Source organism: Homo sapiens, chromosome 7 (genome assembly GCF_000001405.40).
Source record: "Homo sapiens chromosome 7, GRCh38.p14 Primary Assembly".
In the NCBI taxonomy this organism is placed as follows: Eukaryota; Metazoa; Chordata; class Mammalia; order Primates; family Hominidae; genus Homo; species Homo sapiens.
The window spans coordinates 6,184,691-6,211,966 of NC_000007.14; the positions used below are offsets into that span (position 1 = coordinate 6,184,691).

General features: G+C 43.4%; 1 protein-coding gene across 3 annotated transcripts in view; it reads right to left on the minus strand.

The window, feature by feature from the left end:
* The window catches only part of CYTH3 (cytohesin 3), a 110,846-nt gene that overhangs the window by 22,912 nt on the left and 60,658 nt on the right, over positions 1-27,276 (minus strand). For all 3 annotated transcript variants that reach the window (NM_004227.4, NM_001367580.1, NM_001367581.1), the window contains exons 2-4: positions 5,759-5,841; positions 2,967-3,031; positions 2,360-2,426 (exon numbers count right to left, since the gene is read on the minus strand). In NM_004227.4, the coding sequence (NP_004218.1) occupies positions 2,360-2,426; positions 2,967-3,031; positions 5,759-5,841 (215 nt within the window). The remainder of the gene's footprint in view (positions 1-2,359; positions 2,427-2,966; positions 3,032-5,758; positions 5,842-27,276) is intronic.

Sequence of the window (27,276 nt, forward strand, 5' to 3'; positions counted from 1 at the left end):
GCCTCAGCCTCCCGAGTAGCTGGGACTACAGGCACCCACCACCACGCCCAGCTAATTTTGTATTTTTAGTAGAGATGGAGTTTCACCATGTTGGCCAGGCTGGTCTCAAACTCCTGACCTCAGGTGATCTGCCCAACTGGGCCTCCTAAAGTGCTGGGATTATACGCGTAAGCCACCGCACCAGGACTCAGTAGCATCCCTTTAAAAAATAAGTATTTATTTGTATGTATTTCATGAGATTAGAATTTATCCATGAACTTACTGGTGTGCTGCCCTGTGCTGCACTACTTGGGTCCCCTTAAAACATAAGACCCAGTTCTGAGCACATCCACTTTCATAAAGAACCTGAGATGCTTCCAATGCTTATTACATCTGCTGATAAATCTAACTCCACAGTTCCAACTCCTTAAAGAAAAGCTGTTACCCAAAATATCAAATCATTTCCAAATTCACAAAATTGACAATTTTCATTCCATCTTGGAGATGATTTATGCCCCATAAGCAGAGAACCAGAAAGCAACAGGAAAGTTTTCACAGTGGCTAGAGTGTATGCATTAAACAAAAACCCTCCTCTGGGTGCAGATGTGCTGGGCCTTAAGAAAATCCAGACATGGCCTGGCGCAGTGGCTCATGCCTGTAATCCCAGCACTTTTGGGAGGCTGAGGTGGGCAGATCACCTGAGGTCAGGAGTTCGAGACCAGCCTGGCCAACGTGGTGAAACTGGGCCGGGTGCACTGGGCTCACGCCTGTAATCCCAGCACTTTGGGAGGCCAAGGTGGGCAGATCACAAGGTCAGGAGATCGAGACCATCCTAGCTAACACAGTGAAACCCCGTCTCTACTAAAAAAAAATACAAAAAATTAGCCGGGCATGGTGGCAGGCACCTGTAGTCCCAGCTACTCGGGAGGCTGAGGCAGGAGAATGGTGTGAACCCGGGAGGTGGAGCTTGCGGTGGGCCGAGATCGCACCACTGCACTCCAGCCTGGGCAACAGAGTTAGACTCTGTCTCAAAAAAAAAAAAAAAAATTATCTGGGTGCAGTGGCGCATACCTGCAGTCCCAGACCTGCAAACCGTGAGCAGGAAATAACGACATGCACTTCTGTAAATATCACCTGCAACTGCACCTGCACTTATGTGAGTTTACAGATCTTAGACCTTGTACAATGGAATTCTGCAATCAGATATTTATCGAAGGAACAAATAATTAACTCATTAGCACAGAGGCTCAATGCCAGAAAAGCAAGGGGAACGTTAGAAGTACAGACCGACTGGGCCAGGCACGGTGGCTCACGCACATAATCCCAGCACTTTGGGAGGCCGAGGCGGGCGGATCATGAGGTCAGGAGATCAAGACCATCCTGGCTAACACAGTGAAACCCCATCTCTACTAAAAATACAAAAAATTAGCCGGGCGTGGTGGCGGGCGCCTGTAGTCTCAGCTACCCGGGAGGCTGAGGCAGGAGAATGGCGTGAACCCGGGAGGCGGAGCTTGCAGTGAGCCAAGATCGTGCCACTGCACTCCAGCCTGGGTGACAGAGCAAGACTCTATCTCAAAAAAAAAAAAAAAAAAAAAAGTGCAGACCGACTGAAGACCACAGGAGTGGCGTGAACCAGCTCTGCAGCGAGACCTTCCCGTGGACACGCCGTTCCTCTCCTCAACCCTGAAGACTCAGGTCTACCCTTCTTTCTCAAAACCAAAATGTCCCCCAAAAAGCTTCACAGATTCTGCCAAATCCCTTAGCTCGGTCTCAAAAACAAGCAGCTACATGTTTCAGGTTTCACGGTTTTCGAGTGTCTCCCTAGAAAATCCAACTTGAGGAAAGAGAAAGATGCTGGCTTAAATGTGGAGGATCCCTTGTTTTTTCACAGACACCTGCTTTTTAAGGTGAATGGAGGAATAAAGTCCTCTTATGTGAACCACTTAACCCACCCAGATTATAAAGTCCGTAACCTCTGGACACCAGGGTTCCACTCCCACCCCTGCTCCTTCCTAGTCACGTGATTCCCTGACCCAGGTCAAGCGGGAAGATGCGAATATGAGCCTCGACAGCAAGGGCACTGCCTGGAGCCAAGCCCGGCCTGTGCTGAGTCGTCCAAGCCGTGCCTGTGAGGCTGCTTCCTCACCCAGCAGCTCACTCTGAAAGAAAGGCCTTTCTGCCCAGGGCACCAGCCCTACAAGGCACTTCTGCTTCACCCCACTCGCGAAAAGCCCCTTTTTGATAAAAATGTGCCTTCAACTCCCAGTCTTTTATGAGGTGACAGGGCGGACCACCTCTGACCTCTGTCCAAAAGGGAAACGGCAGTTCAAATCAATTAGTCCATCTCCTGCAGGCCAGAAAAGGGAGAGCATTCTCTTACCTTTTTGGGATCCATGTTGAATTTCTTTCTTCCCATGGCTATCTGTTTGTTCCTCTGAGTCGTTTTGCTATTGGTGTGAAATAATTTAAAAATCACTCATGCTGTTTTCACAATGCAGCCCAGTCACGGCCCTCCAGTGTACTTTCCCCCGCAACAACGGGCTCAAGGAAGCGAAGCACAGGCCCTCACGGAGGGGCCCCCAGTCTCCGCAGTGGCGGCAGGGGTGGTGCAGCCACCATTGCTGTTCACATTTGATAACTTGAGACACTTCAGAAAAAGCTAATGATGCAAACCAGTGATTTTAATAAAGCACAGTTCCTTATGACGCAGGCAGGTAATTTCTGTGCGGGTCAACCCTGAAGTGCCTGTGCTTATGCCTGAACCTATAAAGGCAGATGATGACTTACAGAGGAGGCAATGGGAGGTAACATCCAGGGAAACACCCCTGGACCCCTCCACGCAGAGTAGGGGGAGAGGAGAGGAATTAACAACTCCACAGGCTCCCCACATCCCAACCACTCTCACCCCACTTTCTGCAAGTTTGACTACAGGATGGAGGTAGAAAGAAAAGAGTAAATAGCTTAAAGGTGTAGCCACAAATTGTTACCTCTCCTCTACGGAAGTTAGATTGTCGATCTCTGTCATCACCTCTGCAATTTCATATTTCAGCCTCTGTCAAAAAAGAAGAATTTCGAGGTGGGGAGTGGGTCTTAACCTTCCTCCCCTGAGACTCAGAAATTTTAGTTCTCTTGTGACAAGCTTCCCTGCGGTCTCACCGGAGCATCACAGGGATGGAAAAACCAATACTATTATCAATACAGCTAGAGCTTCATAGTCAAAGCCACCACAACTTAGGAGAACACAAAATTCTTTGCTCACTTTTCATCAGATACCAGGTTCAGAGGGGTCCACTCTGCAGATCCTAGGGTATTTGTATATAAAATCAGGCAAGCACACTGGGGGGGGAATATCACAGCTGTGAAAAGATAAAACCAAGCCAGGAGCAGTGGCTCATGCCTGTAATCCCAGCATTTTGGGAGGTTGAAGCAGAGGGATCGCTTGAGATCAGGAGTTTGAGAACAGCCTGGGCAATGTAGCAAGGCCTCATTGCTACAAAAAAGAAAAACAGAAAAATTAGCTGAGTGTGGTGGTACATGCCTGTAGTCCTAGCTACTAGAGAGGCTGAGGAGGGAGGACTGCATGAACCCACGAGTTTGAGGCTGCAGTGAGCCATGATCACACCACTGTACTCCAGTCTGGGTGACAGAGCAAGACTTGGTCTCTTTTTTTAAAAAAAACAAAAAAACAAAAAAAAAAAGCCCAGCAAAAGGAAAGCCATGAGTCCTCAGTTCGCTTAACTGCACTATTCAGCCCTGCCATGCAAACAGTTGTCACCTGCCTCCTCCTTCAACACTGCCTGTGTTCCCAGGGAGAAGCTGAGGCTCGGGTGTGTTTAGATCGGTGGTCTCAGGCTGAAGCTCAGGTGTGTTTAGGTCAGTGGTCTCAGGATCACTTGTATCACCTTGAATGAGATGAAGCACCATGGACAGAGCCCGGGGGTGAACAGAACTGACTCAGGGCACTCAGAGAAGCCAAATGCATCCAAGGGGACAGACCCCCTTTCCCTTGATGTGACCCCTACTAATGAGACTGACCTCTGGAAGCCTCCAACTTCCCTGGGCCTCAGTGTGCTCACTGATAAAATGAAGTAGTTAGAGCTAGATTACGATTCCACATTTATCCAGCAGGCTGATTACTAAGGTCCAAATAATATACATCCTTATTCTTCAACCAGAGACCAATTCTGGGTTATCTGATTTTCCCAAGAATGAAGGGTAACCTTAGAAGAAAAATTTCCATGAATTACCTTTCAAATACAAAGACATTTTTATTCAGGACCCTATTATATGCCAAGACACTCGGACTTAAAACGCAAACTCCTAGAAAGGAGCTATTGTCTGGGACAAGGCCTGTCCTTGCCGTGGCCTGTGAAGCCACATTTATTTTGGCAATGACAATGACTAGAAAGCTTCTCAAAGAAGACCTCCATGTCTGATTGACTTTCCCAAGGAAGCCCCAAACGGAAGGAGCCAGGGCCGGCCCTCTGAATCACTTCTGTAACAATCACAGGCTCTCCCACGCCGAGACGGTGGCTTTATTCACATGCTTCTCCTGTGGGACCGCCCTCTACCCCATCCTCTGAGTAAAGTACACAAGTGTGGAAGAGCCCATGTTTGTGTGCCTGTGTTTTTATTTGTCTTTACTTTTTCTTTTTTTTAGACAGGGTCTTGCTCTGTTGCCCAGTCCGCAGTACACTGGCACAATCACAGTTCACTGTAGCCTCAGCTTCTTGGGCTCAGGTGATCCTCCCACCTCAGCCTCCCGAGTATCTGGGACTACAGGTACAAAACTTAGCTGGGCATGGTGGCGTGCATTTTTTGTAGAGATGGGGTTTGACCATGTTGCCCAGGCTGGTCTTGAACTCCTGGGCTCAAGAGATCCTCCTGCCTTGGCCTCCCAAAGTGCTGGGATAACAGGTGTGAGCCGCTGTGCCCGGCCTAATGTGTCATCCTACTCCTACCACCTGGTAGGCACTTGGTACACAGCTGGAACCCAATACATGCCCACATATTCACTCAAAGGGCATCTGAGAGCCAAAAATGGAACAGGCAATGTTCTAGGTGCTAGAACATTAACATATTGGTGGCTGGGCGCAGTGGCTCACGTCTGTGATCCCAGCACTTTGGGAGGCTGAGGTGAGCGGATCACGAGGTCAGGAGATCAAGACCAATCTGCCTAACACAGTGAAACCCTGTCTCTACTAAAAATACAAAAAATTAGCTGGGTGTGGTGGTGGGTGCCTGTAATCTCAGATACTCAGGAGACTGAGGCAGGAGAATGGCGTGAACCCAGGAGGCAAAGGATGCAGTGAGCCCAGATTGTGCCACTGCACTCCAGCCTGGGCAACAGAGCGAGACTCTGTCTCAAAAAAGCAAAAAGAAAAAAACAAACAAAAAAACATATTAGTTAACGAAAGAGGGTCTCAGTGCACAATTTGACAGAGCAATGCGCTCGTGGCTTGCTGCTGCTTTAGATGATACGCTGCCTGTGGCCCTGGGTTTGCGAGCTGGCTACTGCTGACCTCAGTTCTACGATGTCTTGATTTCTACCCGGGGTCTCACTGCCTGTGTGGAGTCTTTGCTTTCCCAACTTGATAACTTTTCACTCTGTCTCTTTGTGTAGTTCTTATATGCACACACTAAACATCTTTTTTTTTTGTTATTTTTTGTTTTTGGGTTTTTTTTTTTTTTTACATTTTTGTGAGGCTACTCTTTTACTATTTTACTCAAAAGCAAAAAACAGAGTTTTGGATTTTTGGTTTTTTTTTTTTTTTTTTACCTCAATGTCATCAATAAGTTCCTTTTTTCTTCGACGAATGTCTAGAAGTTCTTCTCTCTCTTCTAATGAGAGGTCTTCAGGCACTGAAAGAAGAAAAAAATAATTAACTACTTTGGAGAACACATTGGCAACATCCAGCAAGGTTGAGGTGGGTACATGCTGCCACCCAGCAATTCCATACGCAGGTATTTATCCTAAAGAAATGCTCCCATTGAGACTGTATCTGAGACACTCATAGGAGCGCTCTTTATAACCAGAAAACAGCCTAAATATTCATCAGTAAGAACACGAATAAATTGCGGTACATTCATAAAATAGAATCCCATCCAACAAAAATATTTTTTCAGGCCAGGCACGGTGGCTCATGCCTGTAATCCCAGCACTTTAGGAGGCTGAGGTGGGTGGATCACTTGAGGTCAGGAGTTTGAGACCAGCCTGGCCAACACGGTGAAACCCCATCTCTATTAAAAATACAAAAATCAGCTGGGTGTGGTGACGCATGCCTGTAATCTCAGCTACTCGGGAGGCTGAGGCAGGAGAACTGCTTGAACCCAGGAGGCGGAGGCTGCAGTGAGGCAAAATCACATCACTGCACTCCAGCCTGGGCAACAGAGGGAGATTCTGTTTCGGGAAAAAAAAAAAATTAAAAAGAATGAGCTAAGTCTATCAATATGGATGAGTCTCACAAATAAAATGATGACTATGAAAGAAGGCTAAATTCAGGCACGGTGGCTCACGTCTCTAATCCCAGCACTTTGGGACACTGAGGCAGGAGGATCGCTTGAGCCCAGGAGTTCAAGACCAGCCTGAGCAAGATGGTGAGATCCTTTCTCTACAAAAATTAAAATAAATAAATAAATAAATCAACATAGACAGCGCCCAGGAAAAGACCACAGGCCGACGAAAATATGATTCACAGCAGAGCTGACACTCAGCTCAAAAACAGACTGGACTCTTCAATAAATATGTGTGAAAACAGTTATTTATATGGAAAAAATAAAAGCAGATTGTATGTTATCAATCACACATATTTTCAATCAATTACAAGTGGATTAAAAGTATAAATGTGAAGGGGAAACGCTACACAATTTTTAGAAGTAAATACAGGAGAATTTTTTTTATAATTTCAGGGTAGGGAAGGACTTTTTTTTTTTTTTTTTTTTTTGAGACAGAATCTGACTCTGTCACCCTGGCTGGAGTGCAGTGGCACAATCTTGTCTCACTGCATCCTCCGTCTCCTGGGTTCACTGCACTCAGCCAGGGAAGGACTTCTTAAACAAGATAGACAAAATATAAATCACAAAGGAAAATATTAATACATTTAATTATATCAAAGTTAAGAAACTAGGCCAGGCAAGGTGGCTCATGCCTGTATCCAAGCACTTTGGGAGGCCAAGGTGGGAGGATCACTTGAGGCCAGGAGTTCGAGACCAGCCTGGGCAATACAGTGGGACCCCCATCTGAACTAAAGAAAATGAAAAATAGCCAGGCATGGTGGTGCATGCCTGTGGGCCCAGTCACTTTGGGAGCCTGAGGTGGGAGGATCACTTCAGCCCAGGAGTTTGAGGCTGCAGTGAGCTATGATCATGACTGTGAGGCTGACTGTGCCACTGCACTCCAGTCTGGGCAACACAGAATCTGTGTCTCAAAAAAAAATTAATAAATAAAAACTTTATTCTCCAAAAGTTCCACACCACAGAGTGAAGAAGAGCTGAGCCAGAAACTGCCAAAGAATTCGGATTCAAAATATGTAACTCCTACAAATTATATTATTGTTTTTTGTAGAGACAGGATCTCACTCTGCTGGCCAGGATCTCACTGCAGTGAAATGCTGCAATGGCTCACTGTAGCCTTGAACTCCTGGGCTCAAGCAATCCTCCCACCTCAGCCTCCCAAGTAGCTAGGATTACAGACATGCGCCACCATGTCTGGCTAATTTTTTTTTTTTTAAATTTAAAGACAGGGTCTTGCTATGTTGCCCAGGCTGGCCTTGAACACCTGGCCTGAAGCAAAACTCCTACCTTGGCCTCCTAAAGCACAGGGATTACAGATGTGAGCCACTGTGCCCAGCCACAAGTCAATTTTTTTTTTTTTTTTTTTTTGAGACAGAGTCTCGCTCTGTCGCCAGGCTGGAGTGCGGTGGCACGATCTCAGCTCACTGCAACCTCCACCTCCTGAGTTCAAGTGATTCTCCTGCCTCAGCCTCCCGAGTAGCTGGGATTATAGGCGTGCACCACCACGCTCGGCTAATTTTTTGTATTTTTAGTAGAGACGGGGTTTCACCATGTTGGCCAGGCTGGTCTTGAACTCCTGACCTCAAGTGATCCACCCGTCTTGGCCTCCCAAAATGCTGAGATTACAGGCCTGAGCCACCACACCTGGCCCACAAGTCAATTTTTAAAAGACATAACAACTCCGTGCTTAGAAAATGGGCAAATGGGGCCAGACACAGTGGCTCATGCCTGTAAGCCCAGCACTTTGGGAGGCAGAGACAGGTGGATCACCTGAGGTCAGGAGTTCTGGACCAGTCTGGCCAACATAGTGAAACCCCGTCTCTACTAAAAATACAAAAAATTAGCTGGGTGTAGTGGTGGGCGCCTGTAATCCCAGTTACTGGGGAGGCTGAGGCAGGAGAATCGCTTGAAACAGGAAAGCAAAGGTTGCAGTGAGCCGAGATCCCACCACTGCACTCTAGCCTGGGTGACAGAGCGAGAGTCCGTCTCAAAAGAAAAAAGGAAATTGGGCAAATGACTTGCATAGGCACAAGACCAAAAAATTAATATGAATGGGCTGATAAAAGGATGTCAACTCTCTTAATAGTCAAGGAAATACAAATTAAAATCCCAACAAGAGACCTCCATTAGGTTGCACTGAGCCAAGATCGTGCCACTGCACTCTAGCCTGGGCGACAGAGCAAGACTCCCGTCTCAAAAAAAAAAAAAAAAAGGAGACATCCACTAAAACTGTAGTAATCATAATTAGCAATTTAAAAAACTCAAAACCTGTCACAACAAAGAGAATGGAAACAGAAAGAACCGCCACATTTTTATGAGCTTGAAGCCAAACTGGACTAGCCACAGCTGATTTAATCCACATGGAAAAGCAAACTTTGAAGCCCACAGTGGCGTAGACCAAGTAACCTAATTTACGTGAGAGAATCCCCACAAGGCTTAGGCTCTGGCTTCACTACGTAACTCTGGAGGGGGCTGTGAAGGAGGGTCAACTAAAATAAGGAGAACTGGTTGAAAGGCTCTTTGAAATGCCACTGGATGCCTGCCTCTTCTCTCCCACGCCACGGAAGACTGCTTATTTATCTTTAGAGAACAAAACAGAGAGACTAGGGCACTTCTAACACGTTTGAGGGCAAGGGCACCCTACTAAAAACAGGGGTGAGAGATAAAAGCAAACATACTCATCACCAAGCCGCCTTCTCCACTGGGCTCCCCGACTGCAGGCCACGGGCCATTTACTCCTCTCCCACCACCCTGGACAGAGGCTGGGACAAGCGTCTTCTCTGAAGCATCCCACAGGCTTCAGCTCTAAAGATAATGATCTGAGGGGCAGACACCAACAACCAGTACACCCACATCACCCTACAGAGAAACAGTCAACACGGCCTTCTGCTGCACTCAGAGCTTCTAATACACTTTTTACTTCTTCCTTCCCAAACTGGAGGTAAGCCTCTGACATGCAAAACAGATACCGAAACAGACACAAAAAAGCAAAAAGGGATAAAAGTGGTTACACCTTGGGGACAAGAAAGTGACAAGGCAAGGCAATGCTTGCCCCCATTACAAACATTACAGTTGACTCTTTAATACGTGTACAACTGATAAAATATAAAACCTTGGGGAAAAAGCCAGGCGTGATGGCACGCATCCGTAGTCCCAGGTACTCAGGAGGCTGAGGTGGGAGGATCGCTTGAGCTCAGGGGTTCCAGGTTGCAGTGACCAGCCACTGCATCCCAGCCTGGGTGACAGAGCGAGACTCCCATCTCTTTAAAAATAAACAAAAACAAAAAACAAAAAAACCTTGAAAACAACACATGCATTTCAATCTCACCAGACTGTGACCTGTCATCGAGAGAACTTTGGAAAACAATTTGTCTATTAATATCAAAGAAGTGCATCTGCTATGACCCAGCAATTTTACTCCCAGGTATATCAGAAAAATTTCTGTGCACTGCAACAGAAGATATGTACCAATAACATCAAAGAAGCCCATTGTGTAGATTAAAAAAGTAAATAGGCCGGGCACGTGGCTCACGCCTGTAATCCCAGCACTTTGGGAGGCCAAGGCAGGCGGATCATGACGTCAAGAGATCGAGAGCATCCTGGCTAACATGGTGAAACCGCATCTCTACTAAAAATACAAAAATTAGCTGGGTGCCGTGGCGGGCGCCTATAGTCCCAGCTACTCGGGAGGCTGAGGCGGGAGAATCACTTGAACCCAGGAGGTGGAAGTTGCAGTGAGCCGAGATCGCGTCATTGCACTCCAGCCTGAGCCACAAGAGCAAAACTCCATCTCAAAAAATAAATAAATAAATAATTTTAAAAAAAGAAAAAAGAAAGAGACAAATGAAAAGAGAAAAAGTAGGCCATATCTTCTTCCTAAATAAGCCAATGGTCATCTGAAACCAAAAAGCTGTTCATCACAGAAAATAACTTTTGGATGGCAATGGTTATGCCTAAAAAAAGAGAACAAATTTATTAATATTTTCAAGGGTACTGTAGGTACTGTGATCCCTAATCAGTTAAATGTTTTCATTACGATATAAATTAAGAACACAATGTTCAGCTTATGATAAAGTAAACATGGCAAAGCAAAAAAATTTTGCAAAAAGACACTATTTTCTTCAGGTCTTTCTTAGTAAACTTTTGTCTCAAACAGAAAAAAATAAAATATGCTTCACAAAGATACAAATAATACAATTAACATAAAATTTTTAATTTCCTGCTTCCTGTATTAGATCTAAGTGTCGATAAATTCCACACTGTGGTTTTCTTTTTCTTTTTTATTTTTTTGAGACGGCGTCTCACTCTCTCACCCAGGCTGGAGTACAATGGCACGATCTGGGCTCACTGCAACCTCCACCTCCCAGGTTCAAGCAATTCTCCTGCCTCAGCCTCCCAAGTAGCTGGGATTACAGGTGCCTGCCATCACGCCCGGCTAATTTTTTGTATTCACACTGCTGTTTTCTTAAGCAATCCTCTATGTCAAGCAATGAATGAGGAAGGAACTACAATTTACTGATCAACTAACAGGTCATCTCCATTAAACCCCCCAAATAACTAAGAGCAGCCATTATTATCCTCGTTTTATAAATGAGGAAACCAAAGCCAGGGAAAGTCTAATGATTCTTTCCCAGGAGAAAAAGAAAAAATATTTGAAGAAATAATGGCTGAAATGTCCCAAATTTGATGAATGACATGAATATACACCTCCAAGGTGCTCATCAAAGTCCACGTAGAATAAGCTCAAGGAGATCCAAAGTCATGCAACATGCTATTGGGTGGTCTGGTAGCTCAACGATGTCATCGGTAACCCAGTCTGTTCATCCTGCCTTCCAATGTGTCAGTTTCATCCTAAAGTCTGTCTCTTTCTCGCTCTAGGCTTCCCCCAGCAACTGAAACTACATGCTTCCTTAGTCCTATGTCTCTCTCAAGAGTGAGAAGTCTTCCTTCTGAGAAGCCCATAAAGTCTATGCTCTATTCTCCTTGGCTCAGCCTAGCTCCACCTGACATTTTACTGTGATCGGCTAAAGAGCACGAGTGGAATGAATGCGCACCACACTTAGCGTTGAAGGAGAAGAAACACAAAGAAATCGAGATCAAGAGATAACGTGAGAAGTAGGAAAGAATGAAAGCCAATAAAGAATTTCAACAGGCAGAAAACCAACATCGAATGCCCAGAGAGATCAAATAAAATAAAGAAGCAAGCAGGCAGTTCTCAAATCTTCAAAACTATTACTCTTACGCATCTGAGGGAGCATCTTTTTTCTTTTTTTCTTTTTTTTTTTTTTTTTTTTGAGACGGAATTTCATTTTTGTTGCCCAGGCTGGAGTGCAATGGCACAATCTCAGCTCACTGCAACCTTCACCTCCCACATTCAAGTGATTCTCCTGCCCCAGCCTCACAAGTAGCTGGGATTATAGGCACGCACCACCATGCCCAGCTAATTTTCTATGTTTTTAGTAGAGACGGGGTTTCACCGTGTTGGCCAGGCTGGTCTCAAACTCCTGACCTCAGGTGATCCACCCACCTCAGCCTCTCAAAGTGCTGGGATTACAGGCGTGAGCCACCGCGCCCAGCCGCATCTTATTTCAATATGGCAAAAAGTATATCTAATAGTAACCAGCTGACTGACACTATCCTGTTACTAAAAAGTAAATGTACCTGAAGATTCAAATCAAGTCTGTCAACAACATTTACGAAAAGAATTTTCTTCTGCTGAGCTCTCCTGTGCAGATATAGAAAAATAAGAGCCTGCAAGGGGAGAGCTTTAATTCAAGCATCGGCATACATTTCTGTTTCCTTTTTAAGAAAGTCTATCTACAGTTTCTCTCCTCCTACCCTAAAGATGAGCAGGGTTGGTTGTTAACACAGAGTGAAGACGTACAAAGTGAATCTAAACACCAGAATGATTTAACTCTAAAGATCCTAAAATACCTTTTAATCGGAATCAAAGGATTTCCTTGATTTTTATCTTTCAGTAATACCTATCTTTTCCTACCCCCTTAAGGCCCTAAGGAGTTGAATAAGCACTAGCCGTTTACTTTACCAGTACTGCAATCAGAATTTCCACGTCTAAAAGAAAATTTTGTACAGTGGGACAAAGACATGGTGGCTGTGTAGAGAAATGTCTTTATTTTCTAGAGATTCATGTCATAGTATATAGGGATATAATGCTATTATGTCTATACTTCGAAATACTTTAGCAAAAAAAGAATTGAGGCTGAGCACAGTGGCTCACACCTGTAATCTCAGCACTTTGGAAGGCCGAAGTGGGCGGATCACCTAAGGTCAGCAGCTCCAGACCAGCCTGGCCAATATGATGAAATCCCGTCTCTACTAAAAATACAAAAATTAGCCAGATGTAATGGTGGGTGCCTGAAATCCCAGCTACCTGGGAGGGTGAAGCAGGAGAAATGCTTGAACCCAAGAGGGGGAGATTGCAGTGAGCCAAGATCATGCCATTGCCCTCCAGCCTGGGCAACAAGAGTGGAACTCTGCCTCAAAGAGGGAAAAAAAAGAATTGAGCAAAATTATAACAATTATTAAATCTATTTGATCCATTATCCATTTTACAGTCTAAGAGTTTGAATTTTTCATGTTAAAAAAAAATTTAAGTTTCACGTATTTGGCCAGGTGTAATGGCTCAAGCCTGTAATCCCAGTACTTTGGGAAGCCAAAGCCAGAAGATTGCTTGAGGCCAGGAGTTTGAGACTAGCCTGGGCAACACAAAGAAACTCTGTCTCTACAAAAAACAGAAAAGAAATTAGCCAGACATGTCACGCATGCCCACAGTCCCGGGTACTCAAGAGGCTGAAGTGGGGGGATCGCTTGAGCCCTTGAGTTTGAGGATGCAGCGAGCTATGACTGTGCTACTGCACTCCAACCTGAGTAACAGAGTGAGACACTCTTAAGAAAAAAAAAAAAAAAAGGAAAAAAAAAACTTTCAGGTATTAAGTGGCTAGTAACATCTGTAGCAATATCACTCAGGATATTTGGGGAAAGCATTACTAGGAAGTAACAGAATTATCCTTGACACATGAAAAGGAATAAATAAAAGGCATAGGAGTATGTGATAAAGTATTTCTGAACCAGTCTCTGCGGAGCTTCTAAGTACCTTGCTGTCCTATTGTGTCTTTGGACACCCAGATTGTATAGCAAATACCAACACCTAGCTGTTAGACCAGCTGTTTAGTGACGTTCTATCAGTATCCCTCTGCATCCAAAATAACTTTGCAGTCACAGAATCTGCTGATACACAGACAATTTCACACATGTGACCGCCATACTAAAAATGGGAAGATAAGCAATGTTCAGAGAAGGTGTCCTTAATTATCCAGATCTTTTCCACAGCAACAAACCAGCCTTCAATCAAAGTTATCTAAGGCTTGGATTCACTTATTGACATCATGTATGTTTTGTTACTTGGACTCTGTTAGGTAAGAAGAAACAAAGGTCAAGTGGTTTTTTCCTCCCAAGAAATCTAGCGGTTTATTTTTGAATGGATAAAGTAATATATGGATATGGTTACACATACACAAACATATAAAAAGGCATACAATGAAAACTTCCCCTCCAACCTCAATAAAGCTGCTAAAAAAAAAAAAAAGGGCAGGTTAACTGGAAATCACTGGTCTGGCATGAAATCTCTAAAGCTGGTTGAATGCACCCACCACGAGCTTCCCTATAAAATCCTGACATTCCAGACACGCTAGGAAAGGGTCCTTCAGACTCAGTTCTCGTCTGATGGAGGAGGTTGGACACACTGGTTTATTTCTAACAATGCATCAGGCTCTAAAAGAGAATGAGTCTGTGCAGCACATACGGTTTCAACATTCTTACTCTAATTCTTGATAGCAAATATAAATGTTTCCACAAGGAAAAAACAATGTGGAAAGAAGGCAGGAAATCCTCCATTTTAGTAAAAGGGTGCTGCCAGTGAAGCTTTACATAAGAATCAGGAGCAAATTCACATCATTCAGCCAAAATCCTTGCCTTTCTCAGGCACTAGCCTTCCACAAACTTAGATCTGCAAAATCACAGAGACTCACAGTTGTTGAGGTCTATATTTTAGGTTCAGGTTTGTAGGAATTTAAAGTACTTAAGTGTGGACCTTCTGCTTCCAGCCACAATGGAGTAACAGGGACTGGATTTATCCTGTTGCCTGAAATGATGGGGGTAGAAAAACAGCCAGGCACAGTGGTTATGTGCCTGTAGTCCCAGCCACTGGGGAGTCTGTAGCAGGAGGATCTGGAGCCCAAGAGTTGAGGCTGGCCTGGGCAACATAGCAAGAACCTATCTCTAAAAAATAAACAATAAAAAAACAAGCAAACAAAATAACAAAATTCTACACCCTGCAAAATCTCTTTCAAAAATAAAGATGAAACAAAGACATTTTCAGATATAAAAACTTAAACTAATTTGCCACTAGCACATCTGCACTACAAGAAATGTTAAAGCAGTCCTTCATGCAGGGGGAAAGAAAAGATACCAGATAAAAATTTGTTACCGATGCAAAACAATGAAAGTCTTGTAAATGATAACTATGTGAGTGAATACTTTCCCTTCATGACAGATACCTCTTTAAAAGATTTACTGTTAGTGTTCAAAGCAGAAATAATACGACATGTATTGGGTTAATAACAAATATAAAACAGAACAAAGGTTGGGAGGGAGAAAGGAAAGCACACGTTATAAGCTGCTTATCCCACATGTGAAATGGTTAACATCATTTGATGGTAGACTGAGAAATGAAAGGTGTATATATAAATCCTAAACCAACCACTAACAAAGTGTGCAATAATATTAAGAAATTCAGAATCATTCCCTTATTTACCATCTTTAATAAAATCTAAGAGCCCATCAATTGTAAGATGTATGCTTAATTTCAGGCAGTTTAAAATGTATAATTTGTATCTCAGAATCAAGGAAAAATGGGAGATTGTCACAGATACTCATATTAAAAAATAAGCAAGTGGTATCTCCAAGTTGATTCAGTACTTTCTAACTTTCAAGTTATATTATTAATCTAGTTATCTAACAGATTCCAATCTACCAAGAAGCTGCAGCTTTCTAGTTTACTGCTATAAATAGTGACACCCTGACACATTTTATATACATGTATATGCAAACATATGAGATCTTCCACGGAGTTCACTCGCAGTCCTATGACTTCTCCTGGAGAAAGATGGAGTTTCACAGTTATGAACTGTGGCCAGAACCCTCACTATGTTTTAGTCACTGTAAGTCAAATGTGATAATACGTACCCTGAACAAAAATTTGGTCATTTAACTCACAACTGTGTATTTCTGGCTACCTAGTCCTAATTGAAATTGATTCTCTTACCCTTAAGTTTACCTTTATTACTAATCAATACTAATTTTTGTTGTGATATGGAGCTTTTTAGATTTTTGGTCAGTTCAGAGACTGGCCGATTCTGCAGGAAACAGAACACTGGCAAAGCATGGGCTTTGAGCACTAGTCCCAGTTAATCCACTACATGGAAACTCTACATGGAGCCGTGGTTTAACACACACAGAAATAACACCTATCTCATAACACTGTTATATCCAGCAATTTAAACTGGTTATTTTGAGAAAGGATCTTGCTCTGTCACTCAGTCTGGACTGCAATGGCACAATCACAGCTCACTGCAGCCTCAGCGTCCCAAACTCAGGTGATCCTCCCGCCTCAGCCTCCTGAATAGCTGGGACCACAGGCACGTACCACCATGCCCAGCTAACTTTCAAATTGTTTTTGTAGAGACAGGGTCTCACTATGTTGTTGTCCAGGCTAGTCTCAAACTCCTGGGCTCAAGTAATCCTCTACTTCGGCCTCCCAAAGTGCTGGGATTGTAGGTATGAGCCACCTTGCCTGGCTCAACTGTTAAATGAGCATGAGTTTCTGGAGACTACTGAAGCAGTATGATGACACGCAGAACAAAAGGGCAGGCTCTGAGCTGCCAGGGGCTGCGCTCTGCCTCTCCTCACCACTCGACAGTCGGGTGACCTCAGTGGGTGATAAAGCAGCATTCAAACTATGACATCCAGGTGGGTAACAGGGCAGTCACGTGTTAGCAACAACGGAAAGGGCCAGGTGAGTGGCATGCCGCAGCTAGCCAGGATGCTGCACTGAGCTGCAGGGGCAGGCAGGAAAGCCGCAGAGGCTCCAAGGGTCCGATTCTCGCCACCTCCTTGGAACCTTCTTTCTTGTCATTTCTCCTCAATCTCCATGTGGTGATCTTCACTGTTCCAGGACACTGGTTCCTTACCCAGCCTTCTTTGGATTAGGTGAAAGGTGACATTTTCAGACACAAACTGGAGTTGGCCACTGGTGCACCATTATCACTAACAGAAATTCTTAAATAAGTTCAATCAAGAGAAGGGATCCAGTACAGGAGGTGTGAGCATCAAGAGAAAATGATGAGCACTGGTTTCCATAAGTAAATCTTAAAAAAACCTGACTGTGTAAGATAACAACATCTCATAGAGTAAGAACAGAACTAAAATGCTCAACAACAACAGCATGTAAATAAGAAGGGAAGTAATTTGCTCTCAAGTTCTTAGGGTTCGAAGGCGGAGCGGATAGATGATTAACTTTAGACTTGTCAAGTTAAGAAGGCATACTAAAATTTCTAGGGTAAGCAGGAAAGGAATGGAGCTCAAAATGCCCAAATTGGGAAAGGGAAATTAAAACTGGAATGAGAAAAAATAATCCAAAAAAAGGCAAGGAAAGAGAAAGAGAAACACAGAACAACTGTTAGAAATACAAAATGCAAAATATTGGGTGCAGGAAAAAAAATCCAAATATACTGATCTTTACCATGGTAGACAGAAAAACACAGCCATGGTATTTTGAGGTTCCTCCTCTCAAGAAGGGAAGTCTATTTCCCAGTGTTTTCTCTGGACTGGCTTTGGGACTTCCTTTGACCAAGAGAAGATGGCAGATTTGACAGTGGGCAGGGCCCAGCACCCAGGCCTCAAGGTCTTGTCCCTCCCCTGTCCTGGAACCTGAGACCACCATGCCCTGGGCCAGCAACCTTGAAAATGAAATCCATTGTGTAAAGAAACCACACGGAAGAGTCCCTGAGGTCCCAGCTGCTGCAGCACCTCAGCCAAGGCCCCAGACGAACGCGTAAGTGAAGTCATCTGGGACGGGCTCAGCCCCCGGCTGGCCTTCCAGCTGAATATGACAACGTGGGTGAACCCAGACAAGAGCAGCACGTGAACCGCCAGCCAACTTGGAAATTTGGATGGTGAGACAACAGGCCATTGCTAGTTTTTTTTTTTTTTTTTTTTTTGAGACAGGGTTTCGCTCTTGTTGCCCAGGCTGGAGTGCAGTGGTGCGAATCTCAGCTCACCGCAACCTCCGCCTCCTGGGTTCAATCGATTCTCCTGCCTCAGCCTCCTGAGTGGCTGGGATTACAGGCATGCGCCGCCACGCCCAACTAATTTTGTTTTTTTAGTAGAAAAGGGGTTTCTCCATGTTAGGCTCATCTCAAACTCCCGACCTGAGGTGATCCGCCCGCCTTGGCCTCCCAAAGTGCTGGGATTACAGGCGTGAGCCACCGTGCCCAGCCAGGCCATTGCTGTTTTAAACCAATTCCTTTGAAGAAGTTTGTTATGCAGTAAGAAGTAACTGATACATTTACAATGAACATAAGTGAAAAAAAGGAGTAAAGTTTTAAAACTTGGACTTAAAAACCAGAACAAAAAACATCCCACTAAATGCTCTTTAAAAGAGGCATATTTAAAACATACGAATACATAAAAGTTGGTAAAAGGGTAGAAAGTGACATACCAGACAAATTCTTACCAAAAAGTTGGTACCGCTATAAGAAAAAATAGGCAAAAAAACTTTAAGAAAAATAGACTAAAGCTATGAGTCACTAGATAATGATATTTTGTTCAGTTATTCACAAAGTCAGAATTTATATGCATCTAACAAAATAGTCTCAAAATATATAAAGCAAAAATTGACAGATGTACATGTAAAAATAAAATTTTTCCCAAAGGCAAAAAAAAAAAAATGTTGAAGATCTTACCAACACAATAGCAAGCTTGATTTAATGGACATAATATACTTCACTGATTATAAGATGTGCTTTTTTTTCACATTTTAACATATTTGAAGTGAATTGTGACATTTACATATCATTGCCTCCATAGCTGTGAATCTGACTATTGCTAGAGGCAAAACTAAACAACTGCTACTCCTTAACGTTTCATGCAAAAAAACAAAATTTAAGAATAATCTGATGAAGGATTATGAGTCTAGTCATTGCCACAGATTATTCATTGATACTTTCTGGTAAGATCAACAAAGTCTCAGCAGAAAATTCTGCAAAACATTAGAAAAAAATCCGGGAGACAATATAGGAGCACTCTTTAAGAACTGCTGTGTCACTAATGCCTTCGATGGTGACAGCACTGTGTAGAAAAACATAAATATCAACTATTCTGAGTAGACAACTGATTCAGGAGTTGGAATCTGTAAATAAGCTTCAGGAATACCTTGACCAACTTACTGTACTCATATTCCACCTTTTTTTTTTTTGGAGACAGAGTCTCGCTCTGTCGCCCAGGCTGGAATGCAATGGCCCAATCTCGGCTCACTGCAAGCTCCGCCTCCTGGGTTCACACCATTCTCCTGTCTCAGCCTCCCGAGTAGCTGGGACTACAGGCGCCTGCCACCATGCCCGGCTAATTTTTTTATTTTTAGTAGAGACAGGGTTTCACTGTGTTAGCCAGGATGGTCTTGATCTCCTGACCTCGTGATCCACCCGCCTCAGCCTCCCAAAGTGCTGGGATTACAGGCGTTAGCCACCGCACTCAGCTTCATATTTCACTTTTTATATATGTTCACAATAGAAAAAAAAAAAAGAAACCAATATTAAGTTGAAAAAAAATCAGACAGTATAAATAAAGATTCTAAGTGAGAAGGATTCATTGCCCCTGGTTTAGGTGCCAGCTTTTTTCTTCTTAATGGAACATAAGCTAACGACGCATCTTACAATTGATACAGACAAACTCAGTGGGATCATGGCACCCAACAGGTGTGCAATATACATTCAAGCACATGTGAAAAAAGAAAATAAATTTCAAAGGATTGGTGTAGTGGAGATGAAGGTGCTTTGCTCAATCTCTGGAGGTGCCTTCAAGTAAAGCAGAGTTTAGAAAGCTCAAAATTACATCTCCAGATCCTCTTATTCTGCCAAACAGAGGCAGTGTACAGGATTCAAAAGAGAGCAGTGAAGCAGAAGTCCTCGTCCTGCCCTTTTACACAGGCTGCTGCTCAGCTGGCCCACAAAGATGTGAAAGGTGAGGATTTTCTGCAACAGCTTTCTATCTAGTGTTCGTTCTCTAGATTCCTAGGAATTGAGAGTTCATTCCAGCACTGTGGCCTCCTGATTCAGGTTCTGTGGACCCCATCACGGCTGAGGATATGCACGGACCTCCATGGTTGCAGGAGTTGCCTAGCAGGCGAGAATTCCTCTGGTGACTCGATTTTGGAGAGCCAAGCCAGGGCCCACTCCTTTAGCCAACCCATGGCTCCCCAATCAAATCATTCCTTCCTGCTCAAAATACTTAGAGTGCTCTATGTTTCCTGTATCGAACTATAACAAACTACTGTTGTCATAAAGACCACATTCTCTGAACACAAAACAATCAAGTTAAAAATCAATTGCAAAACAGTGACTAGAGGATGAGTGCGGTGGCTCACGCCTGTAATTCCAGAGCTTTGGGAGGCTGAGGTGGGTGGATCACTTGAGCCCAGGAGTTCAAGGCCAGTTTGGGCAACATGGCGAAGACCCTGTCTCTATTAAAAATACAAAAATTAGCCAGGTATGGTGGTGCACACCTGTAGTCCCAGCTACTTGGGGGCTGAGGTAGGAGAATCACCTGAGCCTGGACGGCCAAGGCTGCAGTGAGCCATGATCATGCCACTGCACTCCAGCCTGGGTGACAAAGCAATACTCTCTCAAAAAAGCAAAAACAAAAAACAGTGACCAGGAAAACCCATTTGTTTGGAAATTAAATTAAGAAACACAATTCTAAATAAATCATTGGTCAAAGATAACAACGTAATGTAAATTAGAAAATACCAACAAAGGCCAGGCACGGTGGCTCACACCTGTAATCCGGAACTTTGGGAGTCCAAGGTGGGCAGATCACCTGAGGTCAGGAGTTTGAGATCAGGCTGGCCAACATGGTAAAACCCCATCTCTACTAAAAATACAAAAAATTAGCCAGGCATGGCAGTGCACGCCTGTAATCCCAGCTACTCGGGAGGCTGAGGCAGGAGAACCCCTTGAACCCAGGAGGTAGAAGTCGCACTGAGCCGAGATCTCACTACTGCACTCCAGCCTGGGCAAAAGAATGAGACTCCGTCTCCAACAAACAAATAAAAAACAAGAAAAGAAGAGAAAGATAATGTGAAAATATTACTTGTGTACTAAAGCTAGAACAACTTAGAAAATAACAACTTAAGATGCTACCACAGCGTGGGCAATATAGCAAGGCCCTGTCTGAAAAAAGCCAAAACACATTAGCCAGGTGTGGTGGTACATACCTGTAATCCTATCTATTTGGGAGGCTGAGACAGGATAGCTTGAGCCCAGCAATTTGAGGCTGCAGTGAGCTATGATCGGGCCACTGCACTCTAACCTGGGTGACAGAGCAAGGTCCTATCTCTTAAAAAAAAAAAAAAAAAAAAAAAAAAAAAGCTTATTTTAGAAAATAATTTTGTTGAAAAATGATAAACTAAGCACTCACCTTTAAAAATTAGAGAAACAACTGCTTAAACCCAAAACAGAAAATAATACAGAAATCAATTATTAAAATAAAATCAAGTAAAGCCACTTAGAAAAACAGTTTGGCAGTTCTTCAAAAAGTTAAAACAGTTTGCATTCCAGCAATTCCACTCTAGTTATATACCCCAAAAAGTAAAAACATATGTCCACACAAAAACCTGTACATGAATGTTCATAGCAACACTATTCACAAATAGCCCAAACAACCTAAATGTCCATCAACAGATGAATGGATTTAAAAATATATGGTCTATATGTACAATGGAATGTGATTCAGCCATCAAAATGAAGTACTGGCACATGCTACAACACAGATGAACTGAGAACACGATGCTAGGTGAAATGAGCCAGCCACAGAAGACCACATATTGTGATTCCATTTACAGAAAACATCCAGAGCAGGTCAAGAACAGACAAAACTAATTTGTGTTGATAGGAATCAAAACAGTGGGTAATCTGGGGAGGCAGAAAGTACTGCCTGAAGAAGGGCATATCAGAGCCTCCTGTGATGTTGCACATGGCTATTTCAATTTAGGCAGTAGATGCACAAGGGTGTGTGTACATGACTACATGGAAAATAGCTTGAGTTCTAGGTACGCTCAACATTTGGGCGCTTTACTTATTGCCCTTAAAAGCCTATGTCTGAAAAACTGATCCCTTTTAATCCTTAACAGAAGAAGGGAAGAATTTCCTGAAAAAGACACTGAAATAGCATTCTAAGAACATGCCAAACACTAACAGAACCAATGCTAACTGCCCTAGGATGACTTCAGGACAATCCAGTCTAAGGTACAAACATGAGTCAGGTGGCCTCACTGCCACCTCTACCTTATATCCTGTGGCTCTAAGATACAAAGCATCAAGTAAAGGTCAAATCCCAGCAGCGTTTTAAGGGACAACGGGGGAGACGATTTTTTTCGTTTTAGAGAGACTACTAACTACAGAATAAATGCTTCATAAAATCTAAAACCCATCAATTTTAAGTAAACCATTATTTTTATGTCCTGTTTAAAAGAAAAAACACCAATACTACAAACTTTAAGATGCCATACCATAAGAAACATTCCAATTTCACAGAAATTAAAATGTGCAACTTTTTTTTTTTTTTTTTTTTTTTTTTGAGACGGAGTCTCACTCCGTCGCCCAGGCTGGAGTGCAGTGGCGCGATCTTGGCTCACTGCAAGCTCCACCTCCTGGGTTCACGCCATTCTCCTGCCTCAGCCTCCCGAGTACCTGGGACTACAGGCACCTGCCACCAAGCCCAGCTAATTTTCTGTATTTTTAGTAGAGACAGGGCTTCACCGTGTTAGCCAGGATGGTCTCTATCTCCTGACCTCGTGATCCACTTGCCTCAGCCTCCCAAAGTGCTGGGACTACAGGCGTGAGCTGCCACGCCCGACCTAAAATGTGCATCTTAGAATCAGTGATATACAGCTATAAAGAATGCCTACTTTTTAATGGAATAGCATTTAATTCAAACTTGATGTTTGAGTCAGGTGGAGTGGCACACACCTGTAATCCCAGTACTTTGGGAAGCCAAGGGGGTTGGATCACTTGAGACCAGGAGTTTGAGACCAGCCTGGGCAATATAGGCCACAGTGAGCTATGATCACACCACTGCACTCCAGCCTGGGTGACAGAGCGAGACTCCATCTCAAAAAACAAAACAAAAAAAGGCTGGGCGCAGTGACTCATACCTGTAATCCCAGCACTTTGGGAGGTCGAGGCAGGCAGACTGCTTGAGTTCAGATGTTCAAGACCAGCCTGGGCAACATGGTGAAACTCCATCTCCACAACAAATACAAAAATTACCTGGGTGCAGTGGTATATGCCTGTAATCCCAGCTACTTGGGAGGCTGAGGTGGGAGGATGGCTTAAACCCAGAAAGCGGAGGTTGCAATGAGCCGAGATCATGCCACTGCACTGCAGCCTGGGTGACAGAGCCAGACCCTGTCTTGGGGGGGTGGGGGGAAAGGTGTTAGAAGCAGATAAAAAAAACGATTAATAACTGTTCTATAGGATGATACTTTTGAGCACTACTGTTCTTATTCTTCCAAGACTCCTTCTACCTTAGGTATATATATCTATCTATTGCTTCTCAGACTTTTGGCTAAGATCAAGTGTAGGTATACACATCTATCACTGGATAAGGTAGGTAAGAATTTTTGTACACTACAAAGACGACAGATAAACTTAGCAATAAACTAGCAATCAGGGCAGTCATTGCAAGATTTTTAAATAACTGCTTTGTATTTACATGGTGTTACATGTAAAACTAACAAACATGGTGTTACAACCCTACCCAAATCAGCCTTTTGGACTCATATATAAACATCCTCTTGACAACAAACATGCCAACCCACAATTGCTGCTCTACAAGCAATGGAAGAATCACTGTAGTGGCATGTGTCTTACCAAATGCAGTAGTCAAGGACAGTTTATTCCCCAGTTCCATACAGCAAAACTAAACCTAAGGGCCAAGGACATAGCCAGCTCCTTGGGAACCTTGGCAAAAGTACTTCATTCCAATCATTCATTCTAGCTCATTTTCTTTTCTTTTTTTTGAGAGGTGCGGCAGGATCTCACTGTCACCCAGGTTGGGGGGCAATGGCCCAATCATAGTTCACCACAGCCTCCAACTCCTGGACTCAGGCAATCACCCTGCCTCAGCCTCCCAAGTATCTGGGACTACAGGAGCCTGCTATCATATCCAACTATTTTTTATTTTTGTAGAGATGGGGTCTTGCTATGCTGCCCAGGCTGGTCTGAAGCGATCCTCCCTCCTCAGCCTCCCAAGGTGTTGGGATTACAGGTGTGGGTCACCACGCCTGGCCTAGAGTTCATTTTCTGTAGCAGTTTTTTATAACATGGTCTAAAGATCTTCTCCATCAGAAACACTTGGAGGTAATTGTCTAAAATAGAGTTCCTAGACCCTATCCCAAACCTACCAAATCAGAACCTCTGGGTATGAAGCCCAGGGCTCTGAATTTTAACAAGCTTCCCAAATGACTTTGTTGAACAGGGAAATTTGAGAAGCACTGCTAAAATACAGCACTGAATAGATAAGTCCTTAAATCATGAATGCAACAGATAGAGAGGCAATGTGACACAGTCAATCTTGCAGCTGGACTTGTCTCAAATGTTCTCTCTGCCACTTACTAGCTCTGCGCCTTTAGGCACAGCGTCTTTTACCTAACCGCTCTATGCCTCAGTTTCCTCATTTGTAAATGGGATACTACTACTATCTCAAGCTAATCAAACTCTCTTCTTGAATATTACTAGAAATTTCAAATTAAATACTGCATCTCAAAACAAATCAAAACAAAAAATATTGTAAGATCTTGAACGATGAATATGTTGACCTCAGTCATGAAAAACTAGTAATAGACATTGAGACTTTCTACCCTAGCTAACTGAAAAACAGAGTAAAATAAACAACTTCTGAGATCAAACCTGAATAAAGTTTCTTTCACAGCCAGAAGCTGTCGTTGGCGGTGCGGGGGAGCAGCTTCACAAATGCACGTGACTAAAAACCATTTGAGGACACTTTGGAAGACAGTTTGGCAGTTTCTCTCCAAGCTCAACAGCCTTACAATACGATCCAGCAACTGCCCTCCTTGGAATTTACCCAACTGAGTTGGAAACTATGTCCACATGAAAATCTGCCATAAATATTTATAGCAGCTTTATTTATAATTGCCAAAAACTGAAGCAACCAAGATGTCCCTCAATAGGTGACTCGATAAACTATGATGCATCCAGACAATGAAATATTATTCAGTGATAGTAAGAGATCAGCTCTCAAGCCTTGAAAAGACATAAAGGAACTTTAACTGTATATGGCTAAGTGAAAGAAGCCAATATGAAAAGGCTACATATTGTACAATTTCAACTAGATGGCATTCTGGAAAAGGCAATGCTACTGAGACAACAGAAGGATCAGTGGTTGCCAGGGGTTCAGGGGGACACGGACAGGGATGAATAGCTGAGCACAGGGGACTCCTGGTTGGTGAAACTCTTCTGTATGATACGGTAATGGTGGATCCATGTCATTATGCACCTGTCAGGACCCCAAGGACCCCAAAAGGAAATGCTATTGTAAACCATAAACTTCAGTTAGTAACAAGGTATCAATATTGGTTTATCCATTGTAAGAAATGCACCACACTAATGTAAGATGTTAATAACAGAAAAACTATGTGCTGGGAGGCGGTGAGCAGATGGGAACTCTATACTGTCAGCTCGATTTTTATGTAAATCTAAATTAGTTCTAAAAACTAAAGTCTATTAATAACATTTTTAAAGTAGGGATAATGACATCCAAAGCTACCAAATAATTCTCTAAGACAACTTTGTGAAAGTCATCTCTGACAATTTAATCAACCCAAACTCCCAACAAGTCCTCTTGAAGATGCGACAGAATATGAAAGAAGATTCCTTATCAAATTTCAAATGAGTTTTCAACTACCATGTCAAGGAGACGTCACCTAAAATTTAAGATTAGATTTATCCTTTTCATTGAAGTTTTTTCAAAATCTTTGGCCTTGAGAACTTAAGTTGGGAAGATAAAAACATTTTTATAACTAATTTCCTATATCCATAGGTGGAACTTTGGCTAAAAATGCGTGAAATCTAAGACAGAGTTCATGCTGCTGGTGTCCCCAAAAGAAACCCCCAGTGCTTGTCAGTCATTTTTTTCCAAACCATTTCATTAACTCTGATGGATTCTGACACAACTTCACACATCATCTTGAGTAGTGGTGCCAGGCTTAGGAAAGCAGTATTTTTTCCTCCTCAGCATCTTTAACTAAGTGTCTTCCAAGAAAACAGTTGGGCATATTGCCTTCACTGATAAGAGTTGTTACACTTAAAATGCTTCAAACAGCACCAAAAAGCAGGGTGAGGATTAATCTTTTGTAAAACCTGAAGTATTCTATTTGATATTTGATCACAAAATGGAGAAATCGATATTCCGGAATTTTTTCTCAATTTCCTTTCCAAGTGAAGTTTTGGCAGTACTCATGAAAATATAAATCAAATCATGTCTCTTCCCTGCTTAAAACACATATGACTTCCCGCTGGGTTCAGAACAAAATCCGAGTTCCTCACCTGAGCCTATAGTGCCCTCCCTGATCCGACCCCATCTGCCACTGGGGCACCATCCCCTCCTGTGAACCACTCTCCTGAGCACCTGGCTGGCTCCAGCTCCCTCCAGCTCCCTTGCTCAAAGCAGGCCCTCCCTGATCACCCTGTCTAAAGGACAGACTCTCAGCTCCCTGCACAATCGCTTTCTATCAGACATGGCTGTTGTATTTCTTTCATAGCACTTTTTACCCAGAGTGTTTTGGAAGCAGAACAGAATGATGGCTGAATGCACGTTTTGTGGAGCCACACTGCGGAGCCTGACTCCTGGCTCTACCACTTCATTAGCTGTGCAAGACCGGACACCTGTGCTTTGCTTTTCTCATTTCAAAAACTTTAAAATTTTTAATTGTGGTAAAACGCATAACACAGCTGGGCACAGTGGTGCACACCTATAGTCCTAGACTCTTAGGAGATTGAGGCAGAAGGATCATCTGAGCTCAGGAGTTCAAATCCCAAAGTGCTGGGATTACAGGAGTAAGCCACGGTGCCTGGCCTAAATATATTCTTTTATTTTTAAATGTACAATTAAATTATTATTGACTATAGTTACCCTGTTGTGCTATCAAATATTAGGTCTTGGCTGGGCACGGTGGCTCATGCCTGTAATCCTAGCACTTTGGGAGGCTGAGGCGGGTGGACCACTGTGGCCCAGAGTTTGAGACAAGCCTGGCCAAAATGTCTCTACTAAAAATACAAAAATTAGTCAGGTGTGGTGGCTTGCACTTGTCATCCCAGCTACTCAGGAGGCTGAGGCACAACAATCACTTGAACCCAGGAGGTGAAGGTTGCAGTGAGCTGAGATTGTGCCACTGCACTCCAGCCTGGGCGA